Genomic DNA, 13,157 nt, shown 5'->3' on the forward strand with positions numbered 1-13,157 from the left:
AAATTATGTTTCTTTTTCTCTGTCTTTTGTCTTTGTGGTTTAATGAAATTGCAGCATTAAACTATCAAAATGGTGCCAGCTATGACCTTGTGACCACAGAGGATGGGACCTCTCTTAGGTGAGCAGTATGAGCAAGAAGATGTGAGGAGTACAGTCCATTCAAGTCTTGGTCTCACAGCAGCCTATACCAGGGAATTAGGTATTGTCCTAGGTATGCATAGAAGAGCTTGGCTTCCCTGTCCCTCCTCTACCAGGTGGCAGCTGCAGCAACATCAACTCAAACTTGGCCCAAGGACAGGGTGCACCCCAGTATTAAATTCTGAAAATGCACTTGGGCCTGCCACCAGGGAGGGTAGAGCCCCTCAAACTACATATTTAAAGTGTGTTATAAGTTCTGACATATGTATACACCCATGAAACCATCACCACAATCAATATAGTGAACATAACCATCACCCCCAAAAGTTTATGCCTTTCATAATCCCTGCCTCCTGCCCTTGCCTATCTCTGCATCTCCAAAGTGATTATCACAAAAAGAGTGATCTGCTTTCTGCCACTGTAGATTAGTTTGCATTTTGTAGAGTTTCATGTGAGTGGAATCGTATGCACTCTTTGTCTGGCTTCTTTCACTCAGGATAATGATTTTGAGATTCATCGCTGTCATTATGTGTATCAATAATTTATTCCTTTTTATTGCTGAGTAGTATTCCATTGCATCACAATTTGTTTATCTGTTGATGGCCAGTTTGATTCTTTTCAGCTTTGAGCCATTACATGTAAAGGTGTTATGAGCACTATTGTACAAGAAATTGGAGGCATACATATTTTTTTCTGTTGGGTAAATTCTTCATAGTAGAATGGCTGGCTTATAGTTAGATACACATTTCACTTCTTAAGAATTGTTTATGTAGGTTTTCTGTGCTGCTTAACAAACTGTCACAAACAGTGGCTTCAAACAACATACCTCACATATTTGTGAGTCTGAAGTCCAGGAACAGCTTAGCTAGTTCTCTGTTTAGGGTTTCACCTGGCTGCGTTTAAGGTGTTGGCCAGGGCTGGGCTCTCATGTGGAGACTCAACTAGAGAAGAAGCCATTTACACTTTTGTGTATTCTTAGAAGAATACAGTTCCTTATAGCTGTAGTATTTATGTCAGCTTTATTCTTCAAAGCCAGTAAGAAAGACTGAGAGCTAGTGGACTAACAAGACAAAAGCCTATATAATATAACGTGATCATGGGAATGACATCCCATTACCTTTACCATTATCTATTGGTCTGAAGCAAGTCACAAGTCTTGCCCACACTCAGAGTGGGGGAATTACACATAGGCATGAACACCAAGAGGTAGGAATCATGCATGGGCCACCTTAGAGTCTGTCTACTACATGCCCCAATGATTCATGTTCTCCCACATGCAAAATACATTCACCTCACTCACGTGGTTTTCAAGAGTCCCATCCCATTGTAGCATCAGCTCAAAGGTCCAGAATCTTATCATCTAAATCAGGTCCTGGTGTGGATGATGTTCCTAGATGTAATCTATTCAGTACAGGTTCTATACACAATTTCTCTCCATCTGTAGATCTGTGAAACTAAAGAGACAAGTTGTCTGACCCCAACACACCCAACATACAAGAGTGGGACAGGCAAAGGATAATAGTTATAGATAGCACAGTTAAAAGGAGTGGGGAATGGAAGGTTAAAAAAAGGGTTCATAGCAATTCTGAAATCCAGCTGGGTAAATATTGGGAGTTCCATGACTAAGTTTCGAGACCTGGGACTAATCCTCTGCAGTTCTTTGCTCCATTCTCTGGGTGCCTGGTTTCACCCTCTGAATCATCTTTCATTTTTTCATGAAAGGTAGCATGTGTTTGTAGCTAAGTAGTTCTATCAGGCTGCTTCTTGCCAGTAGAACTTTGGGGGTCTGACAACCTTCTTCCATTTTGTAGTGACTCTGTCCCTTTAGTCCAAATTGGCAGTTTTTCTGTTGAAATAATTTTCTTAAAAACTTTTTGGCTCTTCATGGTATCAGTGGGGTTTACCAAATTAGACAAAAGCCATATCTGTATCTTTTCAGATAATTTCTTCTCTATCTTAGGGTCCTGCTTGAATGGCTGGCTGAGAGACAAAGCCCTTAAGTTTCATAAAGACTCTGTGGTTTGGTTAAGAGGATCTTTGAGATAAACCCTTAATCTCTTGAGAGAACCCTTTGTGTGAGTGAATACTCTAATCTTTTGATCTTTCTGAGATATTAGTAAAAGGTTGTCTACTCACACCTTTTTTTCTCTAGATCACTCTGTCCAATGTTAGCATCTTTCATCCTCTAGAGAGACCGAGAATTTTCAAAATCATCAAGTCCTGGTTACTTTTTGTTGAACAGTTTTCCCCTCAATTTATCTCTCTCATCTTACATTTTATTATAAGCAGCAAGAAAAAACTTAGGCCTCACTTTCAACACATGGATTGGGTCATCACTTACAAGTTGTGCTTTCTACGAGACTACAGGAGACCATTTCACTAAGCTTTTTGCCACTAAATAACAAGTGTCTCCCTCCAGTGGCCAATAACATGTTCCAGGTCTAGATTTCTGCTCTCAGTCTGTTCAGGGCAATTTATGCATTTTTTATCATGCTTCTCAAAATTCTTCCAACCTGTATCAATGAATAGTCAAAAAGGAAATTAAGAAATGAATTCATTTACAATAGTATCAAGAAGAATAAAATAAATAAATGTAACCAAGGAAGTACAAGACTTCCACACTGAAAACTATGTAATATTATAGAAAGAAATTAGAGGAGACCTAATGAAATGGAAAGACATCCCATGTTTACGGAGTTGAAGGCTTAATATTGTTAAGATGTTAACACTCCCCAAATAGATCTACAGTTTCAGTACAATCCCTATCAAAATTCCAGCTGCCTTTTTTTGTAGAAATGGGCAAGCTGATCCTGAAGTTCACATGGAAATGTGAGAGGCCTTGAATAGTCAAAACAATATTTCTAAAGAATAAAGTTAGAGGATTCACACTTCCTGATTTAAAAAGTTACTACAAAACTGCAGTAATCAAAACTGGTTGTGTGAAACTGGCATAAGGACAGACAAATAGATCAATGGAATAGAATCAAAAGTTCAGAAATACACCCACACATATGTGGCCAATTAGTTTTCAAGGGTGCCAAGATCATTCAATGGGAGAAGAATAGTCTCTTTAACAGATGATACTGGAACAACTGTATATTCACCTGTAAAAGAATGAAGTTGGATCCTGACTTCATACCATATACAAAAATCAACTCACAATGGATCAAGGACCTAAATTTGAGAGCCAAAATCATAAAACTCTCAGAAGAAAACAAAGGAGTAACTCTTCATGACCTTGGATTTGACATTACATTCTTTAGATATGACACCAAAAGCATGAGCAGCAAAAGAAAAAATAATTTGGACTTCATCAAAATGTAAAACTTTGTGCTATAAAAGACATTATCAAGGAAGCGAAAGACAACCTGTGAAATGGGAGAAAATATTTAGAAATCATATAACTGATAAGCATCTAGTATCCAGGGTAAAGAACTATAACTCAATAATAAAAGCTCAAACAACCCAATTTTAAAATGGGCAAATAATTTGGATAGATATTTCTCCAAAGAAGATACACCAATGGTCAATAAGCACATGAAAGACGCTGTACATCGTTAGTCATTAGGGAAGTGCAAATAAAAACCACAACGAGATACCACCTCATGCCCACTAGGATGGCTATGTGTATATATATTTTTAATTACATTTTATTTCTTAAAAGAAAAATAACAAGTGTTAGTAAAGATACAGAGAAATTGGAACCCTCATACATGGCAGTGGAAATATAAAATGCTGCAGCTATTGTGGAAACAATTTGGCAGCTCCTCAGAATGTTAAACACAAAATTGTCAAAAGACCAAGAAAATTCCACTCCTAGGTATATAAAAAAGAGAACTGAAAACATATATCCATACAAAAACTTGAACATGAATGCTCATAGCAGCATTATTCATAATAGCTGGAAACAACCCAAATGTCCATCAGCTGATGAATGAACAAAATTGGGTTTATCCATGTGTTGTGGGATGAATTGTTTCCCCCCTAAAATTCATATGTTGAAACCCTAACCCCCAAAGTGACTGTATTTGGAGACAGGCTTTTAGGGAGGTAATTCAGGTTCTGAGGTAATAAGAGTGGGCTCCTAATCCAATAGGGCTGGTGTCCTTGTAAGAAGAGGAAGGGACAGCGGAGATCTCTTTCTATTTACACGTGGAGAAAAGGCCATGTGAGGACAGAGAAAGAAGGTGGCCACCGGAAAGCCAGGACAGCACCTTGATCTTGGACTTCTGGCCTCCAGAACTGTGAGAAAATAAATGTCCATTGTGTAATCCACCCAATCAGTGCTATTTTGTTATGGCAGCCCTAGCAGACTAGTACACCATGCAATGGAATATTATTCAGCCACAAAGAGGAATTAAGTACTGATACATGTTACAACATGGATGAACCTTGAAAATATGCTAAATGAAAGAAGCCAATCACAAAGCACCATGTATATGGTATGATTCCATTCATATGAAATGTCCAGAATAGGCAGAGCCATAGAGACAGAGTTTAGTGGTTGCTGGGGGATGGATGAAGAGGGAAATTGAGAGGTACCATGTTTCTTTTCGGAGTGATAGAAATTTTTTGAAATTACATAGTGGTAATGATTGCACAACATTGTGACTATATTAGAAACCACTGAACTGCATACTTTAAAATGGTTAAAATGATGAATTTTATGTTATATGAATCTTATTTTTAAAAAAATTTTTAAAATTCTTTCAGCCTGAAAAATGTCCATTAATATTTCTTGTATGTGGGTCTGCTAGTGATTAACTGTTTCTTTTGTAGATATGAAAATTCCTTTATTTTGCTTTCATTTTTGCAAGATAATTTTATGAACTATGTGAATAGTTTGCCTTCTAGTACTTTTAAAATGCTGTCCATTTCTTCTCGCTTGCATTGTTTCTGAAAAGAAATTTGTTGTCATCCTTATCTTTGTTCCTTGGTGCATGTATTTTTTTTTCCTGGCTGCTAAGATTTTCTCTTTATCACTGGTTTTGAACAATTTGACTATGATGTGCCTTAATGTAGTTTTCCCCATGTTTCTTCTGCCTGGAGTTTGTTTAACTTCATAGATTTGTAGGTTTGTTTTCATTGTTTGGAAAGCTTTCAGCCATTATTTCTTCAGATTTTTTTTTCTGTCCCCCATCATCCGTCAGGACTTTGGTCACTCATAAATTAGTCCATTTGATCATTGATCCCTCAGGTAACTCATGCTTTAAAAAAATTTTTTTTGTATTCTTTTTTTTCTGTGTGTATTTCATTCTGGGCAATTGCTATTGTTATGCCATCAGTGTTCATTATCTTTTCTTCTACAACGTTGAATCTGCTCATTTAGTGTATTTCATGTGAGATATTGTCATTTTCATCTCAAAGTATGATTTGAGAGAGACATATATATTTTCCATGTCTCTATTTGATATTTTGAAAATGTGGAATAATTTGAATATCTGTGTTAATTCTAGGTTGGTTTCAGTTGATACTTCCTTCATTATGGCTTGTATTTTCCTGCCTGGTGATCTTTGATTAGATTTCATACATTGTGCATTTTACCTTACTAAGGGATGAATTTCTTTTTATTACTGCATATTTTCTTGAGCTTTGTTCTGAAATGCAATTAAGTTACTTGCAAACAGTTTGATCCATTCTGGTCTTTCTTTTATGATTTGTTAGGTCTGGAGCAATGTTCAGTCTAGAGCTAATTATTACCCACCTATGGAGGCAAGATCTTATTCTGCCCAGTGCTCCATGAATTGAGTTTTTCTGGTCTGGAGAGTGGGAACAGGCAGTATTCCTTGTTCCACGTGAGCAGCAAGTACTGTTCCCTTCTTTCACTTTTTTTTTTCCTAGCCTCAGGTGGCTTCTTCTCATATGTGCACTGATAGTACATTTTGAATGCTCAAATGATGCCCCACCCTCTGCAGATATCATGGGTTCTCTTCCTATTTCTCTTCTTTAAGATACTCTGTTCTATGAATCCGAGCTGCCTTGGTCTCTGGACTCTCAACTCAGGGAGTCCACCAGGCTGTGCCTCAGTTCCCACTCTTTATGCCATATCTTGGAAACTTTTTCAAGGCAATTGCAGGTCCAGTCTCATTTGTTTATCATCTCAGGGTTTACTGACTTTCATTATCTGATATACAGTGGTCTTGAAAGCCATTGTTTCATTGTTTTAGGAGAGTAAACCCAGTTCATGTTACTCCATCTTGGCTGGAAGCAGAAGTCCAACATTTTTAAACTTTTTATTGAATCACAGCTTGCCAAGAGTAAAAGGGAAAAAAAAGTTTTTATTGAAGTGTAATATACACATAGAAAATTACAAAGTAAATTTACATCAAGTAAGCTTGAGGATTTTTTGTCTCTACAAAAAGTAAAAATAATTAGCCAGGGCGTGGTGGTGCATGCCTGTAGTCCTAGCTACTCAGGGGACTAAAGCAGGAGGATCCCTTAATCCCAGGAGTTTGAGACTGCAGTGAGCTATGACTGTGCTAATATACTTCAGCCTGGATGACCGTGCAAGACCCTGTCTCTAAAAAGAAAAACAGTATGCTTTTATGACCAGCACCCAGATCAAGAATATTGCCAGTACTCCAGAAGCCTTTCTCATGCTTTCTTTCAGTCAGCTACTTAATCCGTACCCCCACAAGATAACCCCATCCTGACTTCCAACAGCACAGATTAATTTTGCCTGTTTTAAAATTTTGTAAGAATGGATTCATATAGTATATACCCTTATGCATCTGGCTTCTTTTATTCAATATTATATTTGTTAAATTCAGTTATGTTTTGCTCGCAACAAGTTTATTCCCATTGCTTATAGTGTTCCATTGTATGACTATATCACACCCTACTGTTGATGGATATGTGGGTGGTTTGTCTAGAATATAATACTATTATGAATATTTTTGTATATGTCTTTTGATGAACTTAAGTACTAGACGCATAAGGGTAGAATTGCTAGGTCAGAGGATATGCTATTCTAACTTCAGTGGATATGGCCAAAAAAATTTTCAAAGTGGTTATACCTACTTACAGCCTCTCCAGTATTGTGTGAGAGTTCCAGTTGCTCCACATTTGCCACACTTGATGTGTGGTCTTTGTGGGTTTGTTTTATTTTTAAGCCACTATGTTGTATGTGTGTTAGGTTTTTTTTTTTTTAAGCTTGTATTAGAGAATAGGACTAGCACTCTCTTTAAAATGAACTAGTTTATATTATATGAGGTTAATTTTTTTGAGACACAGGACAGGTGGTAATTAAAAGTCCAGAGTCATACCCAGACTCCCATAATAATAAACCCTGGTAATAAACAAAGGAACTCCTTCCAGTTTCAGTGTATCAACCACCACGTACCAGATAAAATCTTATTTCACCTTTCACAATTTACCAGTGTTGGGCTGTGAATTAATATTTTTATTTTTCTGTGCATTCATAAATTAAGATTATTTTATTGTATTGTAACTGTAATTTTGAGACTAAAGTCTAAAAACAAGACATCATGAAATGGAGCTGGAGGATCTCTAATTGGCATTTAGTAGGTTGACTGAAATACCTTAAAACAGGGGTCAGGAAACAACTGTCTATGCAGAGGCTGGTGGTAAAGATTTCAGTCTTTGACAACCATCCAGTCTCTGTTGCAACTACTCAACTCTGCCCTTGTAGCATGAAAGCAGCCATAAATAAGATGTAAATGAATGAGCTTGGCTGTGTACACTAGTACATACTCAGTACATATGTTCACCAAAAGATAGGTGCAAGAATGTTCATAAATAACTAGAAAACATACATCAGAAACTACCCACATGTCCATCAACAGTAGAATGTGATATATTCATACAATGGAATACTATACCACTATGAGAATAAACAAATGATTATTACAACTTTTTTTTTTTTTTTTTTTTGAGACAGTCTCGCTCCGTGGCCCAGGCTGGAGTGCAGTGGTGTGATCTCGGCTCACTGCAAGCTCCGCCTCCTGGGTTTAAGTGATTCTCCTGCCTCAGCCTCCCGAGTAGCTGGGATTACAAGTGCCTGCCACCACACCCAGCTATTTTTTGTATTTTTAGTAGAGATGGGGTTTCACTATGTTGGCCAGGCTGGTCTCGAACTCCTGACCTCAGGTGATCTGCCCACCTCGGCCTCCCAAAGTGCTGGGATCACAGGTGTGAGCCACCACACCCAGCCACACCGTTATTTTGAAAAACAGGCAGTAGTAACAGGTATGGGGTTTCTTTTTGGGGTGATAAAAAGTTATTGAACTAGATAGAGGTAAGGGTTGCACAACATCATGAATGTAACTAATGCTGCTGAATTGTATACAGTCCTGTGTGGCATAATGACACTTTGGTCAATGTTGGACCACATATATGATGGTCTCATAAGATTATAATGGAGCTGAAAAACTCCTATCACCTAATGCCATTGTAGTTGTCGTAAAGTCAAAGCACAACTCATTACTGATGTGTTTGTGGTGATGCTGGTATAAACAAACCTACTGCACTGCCAGTCATATAAAAATACAGCATAAACAATTATGTACAGTACATATACTTCATAATAAACGATTATGTTACTGGTTTATGTATATACTATATTTTTATCATTAGAGTGTTCTCCTACCATGTCTTTTAAAGTTAACTGTAAAATAGCCTCAGGTAGGTCCTTCAGGAGGTATTCCAGAAGAAGGCATTGTTACCACAGGAGATGACAGCTCCATGTGTGTTACACAACCTTTGAAGACCTTCCGGTGGGACAGGAAGTGTAGGTGGAAAACAGTGATATTGATGATCCTCATCCTATGTAGGCCTAGGCTAATGTGTGTGTTTGTGTCTTAGATTTTAACAAAAAGATTAAACAGTAAAAATTAATTAAAAAATAGGCAAACCTCATAGAATAAGGAAATAAAGAAAAAATATTTTTGTACAGTTGTACAGTGTTTGTGCCTTAAGCTGTTATTTCAAAAGGATCAAAAAGTTAAAAAAATAAAAAATTTATAAAGTCAAAAAGTATAACTAAGGGTAATTTTTTGAAGAAATTTTTAAAAATGTAGTGTAACCTAAATGTACAGTGTTTATAGACAGTCCAGTAATGACCTAGGCCTTCACATTCACTCACCACTCACTCAGTGACTCACTCAGAGCAACTTTCATTCCTGTAAGCTCCATTCATGATAAGTACCCTATACAAGGTACCTGTACCATTTTTATCTTTTGTACCATAATTTTATTGTACCTTTCCTATGTTCAGGCTTGTTTAAATATACAAATGCTAACCATTGTGTTATAGTTGCCCCCAGTATTCAGTACAGTAACATGCTGTACAGGCCTGTGCCTAGGAGCAACAGGCTGTACCATTTAGCTAAGGTGTGTAATAGGCTGTATCACCTAGGTTTGTGTAAATACACTCAGACTTCACACAACAGAATCACCTAATAATGCCATTCTCAGAAGGTATCCCTGTTGTTAAGTAACATGAGTGTAAAATGGTAAGTCATGTGTATTTTACCACAATAATTTTTTTTTTTTTTTTTTAAGTAGCAGGCCAGATTTGACCCATGGGCTATAGTTTGCCAACCCTGCTCTACAATGTGATCCCCATGAGAAGCAGTGGCATATAATGATTAAAAGTACAGACTTTGGGCCGGGCACAGTGGTTCACACCTATAATCCCAGCATTTTGGAAGGCCGAGGCGGGTGGATCATGAGGTCAGGAGATCAAGACCATCCTGGCTAACATGGTGAAACCCCATCTCTACTAAAAATACAAAAATTAAGCGGGTGTGGTGGCGGGCACCTGTAGTCCCAGCTACTTGGGAGGCTGAGGCAGGAGAATGGCATGAACGTGGGAGGCAGAGCTTGCAGTGAGCGGAGCTTGCACCACCACGTTCCAGCCTGGGCAACAGAGCGAGACTCTGTCTCAAAAAAAAGATACAGACTTTGTTGCCACACGACCTGGGTTTGACCACTGGGTCTGACACTAACTTTATTTAGATTCTTGGCTAGTTGCTTAACTTCTTTGAGCCTCAGTTTATCTATAAAATGAGTATAAATACTAATATCTATTTCATAGTATTGTTTAAGAAATAAACCAGTTACATGAAAGTATATAGAGTAGTTCCTGTAATATTTAAGAGCTCAATAAATGTTAGCTATTGTCATTACTTTTTATTATAATACCTGGAAGTACAGAAAGAGAACACTTGCAGTTTTGGCTTTGTCATGGACCAGTTGGTTCATTGTTGTTAGAACAAACTGACAGGTGCTGGTACAAACCTATCTCTATTATTAGAGCAACTTTCCCAACCTCTATGTGAAGAGAAAAGCCAAACTGCATGCAGGTTTGCAGTATATGCAGTAGGGCTACATGGTCTGTGAACTGTAACCTCAAAGTATATAAAACTCTGGTGAAATGTAATCACCTATTTATAACTTGTTTTTATAATGATTTTAACTTTTAATCAAGACAGTTTTAAAGTCTAAATTAATGAAGAAAAATATTTATTTTTTATTTTTATTTATTGAAACAGGGTTTCACTCTGTTGCCCAGGCTGGAGTGCAGTGGGGCCATCACAGCTCACTACAGCCTCAACTACCTGGGCTGAAGCTGTCCTCCCACCTCAGCCTCCCAAGTAGCTGGGACCAAGGGCACGTGCCACCATGCCCAGCTAATTTTAATTTTTTTTGTAGAGATGGCGGTCTCCTTATGTTGCCCAAGCTGGTCTTGAACTACTGGCCTCAAGCAATCTGCCTCAGCCTCCCACAGTGCCGGGATTACAGATGTCAGCCACCATGCCCAGCCTGCTTGGTCATTTGTATGGTGTCTTGCTCTTAGTCATATTTTCTATTTCTGCTTTTGTTTTACATTCTACATCTGTCAATTCCAATTTCTGAAGTCCTTGCTGATCCGACTATGCTGTTTCTGCCTGCTCTTTTTCAAGATGCCTTGTTTCTTCGTGGATGTGATTCTTAAAAGTGATTTCTAATCTCATAACTTTACCTGTGGGAATTGAGGTCTGGATTAATGAAGGTTTCCCTAGAGCTATACTGTCCAATAGAGTAGGCACCAGCCACGTTTGGCCATAAGTTAAAATTAAATTTAAAATTCAGCTCCTCACTCCCTAGCCACATTCTGAGTGCTCTATAGCTATAGGAGGGTGGTGGCTACTACCACACTGGACAGCACAGTTGTAAAATATTTCTGTCAACTCCAAAGGTATGTAGGACAACTGTGCCCTAGAGATCTTTTTCTCTTTCTGCCAGGTACCAGTAGGCATCATCAGCCTGGGAAACCACTTTCAACTAGTCTTGGTTTGAGGGGTTTTTTTGAACCATGCAGGTGGCATAAAATTGTACTGCAAAGATAAGTGAAGCCTTGTTTGAGATTATGAATTCTCAGGAGAGATCTTTTTTCACAATACTGTTGCTGTGGGCCAGAAGATTATCCATGGATAATATATCCTGTTCCTTTGCCCAGATGATGAGAGTAATGTTGCAGTTACCAGACCCGATTCAGAAAGTTCCTGTGTGCTGAGTGAACTACATCCTTTGGTGTTACCGCGAGTGCCACAGTCTAAGGTGCTGTACATTACCTCAAATCCGGTAAGCCCCAGAGGGATCAGTTGGAGACCCCAGGGCTACTCTCACCAGAGGAAATTTGCTCAGAGTTGTTTGCCTTACTTGTATGATTTCTGACTCAATATGTTTTAGTACAGTTATGTGTTTATCATAATAATCCAGTGACTCTTCGCATTGGTTTGTTTAAAATATTAATAGCAAATTAGAGTTGATAAATATTTCTCAGTCAGCTCTTCTAAGGAGGCATCTGTAAGTTGTGCAACCTAGAATCAACCATGTGGTCAGCCTAAGTCTGTTTTGGGAAGAATGGAGGATACCCTTATGATAAAAATGACTCATCTTAGATTCTCTATGGCCTTGACATTGTCCTTTGAACGCCTCCTTCCTTTTGAGTTTTTCCTTCCTTTTTCTCTCAACTTGGCCCACCCTGTTTATTTTTTATTTTTTCATTTTTTTTGAGACAGTCTCGCTCTGTCACCCAGGCTGGAGCGCAGTGGCATGATCTCGGCTCACTGCAACCTCCGCCTCCCAGGTTCAACCAGTTCTTGTGCCTCAGCCCCCTGAGTACCTGGGATTACAGATGTGCACCACCACTCGGCTGATTTCTGTATTTTTGGTAGAGACAGAGTTTCACCATGTTGGCCAGGCCCGTCTCGAACTCCTGGCCTCATGTGATCCACCTGCCTCAGGCTCCCAAAGTGCTGGAATTACAGGCATGAGCCACCACCGCACCTGGTCCCTGTTTGTTTTTTAGAGAGAGGAGTCTCACTATGTTGCCCAGGCTGGTCTCAAACTCCTGGGCTCAAGCCACCTTCCCACCTCAGCCTCCTGAGTCGCCACCATACCCAGGCTGTTTTTGTTTTTTAATATTTAAATCTGTTAACTTTTTTGCCTTTTGGATGTTTAGTACTCATAAACCAGGTATAAAAATCAAACAAAAACAAAGAGAAAAGCTATTTCAAGTGAGTCTGAACAAGCACAAAGATGGTATTTCTTGCAGGAGGCAGATGAGATTGGTCTTATCCCTGTGTAATGATTTATGTAGTCTCAGTTCCTACACAATAGTTTCCTGGTGTTACTTTTAAGGTGGAAAAAAAAAACCAGAGAAAGGTGTTGGCATATTGGCCAGATGTTATACAGCTGGATTTACAAAACAGGTATTTAAAAAGAAAATTAGGCCAAGGTGGGTGGGTCATTTGAGGCCAGGAGTTCAAGACCAGCCTGGCCAATTTGGTGAAACCTCATCTATACTAAAAATACAAAAACTAGCTGGGCATGGTGGCAGGCACCTGTAGTGCCAGCTACTCTGGAGGCTGAGGCAGGAGAATCACTTGAACCTGGGAGGCAGAGGTAGCAGTGGGCTGAGATTACGCCACTGCACTCCAACCTGGGTGACAGAGCAAGACTCCGTCTCAGAAAAAATAAGAGAAAATTATGAAGGCTCGTAAGTCACCACA

At 38.7% G+C, this 13,157-nt stretch overlaps 1 protein-coding gene across 8 annotated transcripts in view; it reads left to right on the plus strand.

Moving 5' to 3' along the window:
- FAM149B1 (family with sequence similarity 149 member B1) overlaps positions 1-13,157 on the plus strand; it is a 76,386-nt gene that overhangs the window by 48,342 nt on the left and 14,887 nt on the right. For 2 of the 8 annotated variants that reach the window (NM_173348.2, XM_047425143.1), the window contains exon 8: positions 11,600-11,724. In NM_173348.2, the coding sequence (NP_775483.1) occupies positions 11,600-11,724 (125 nt within the window). The other 6 variants (XM_005269744.3, XM_047425142.1, XM_047425144.1 and 3 more) reach the window with 5 other exon arrangements.

Source organism: Homo sapiens, chromosome 10 (assembly GCF_000001405.40).
Source record: "Homo sapiens chromosome 10, GRCh38.p14 Primary Assembly".
In the NCBI taxonomy this organism is placed as follows: Eukaryota; Metazoa; Chordata; class Mammalia; order Primates; family Hominidae; genus Homo; species Homo sapiens.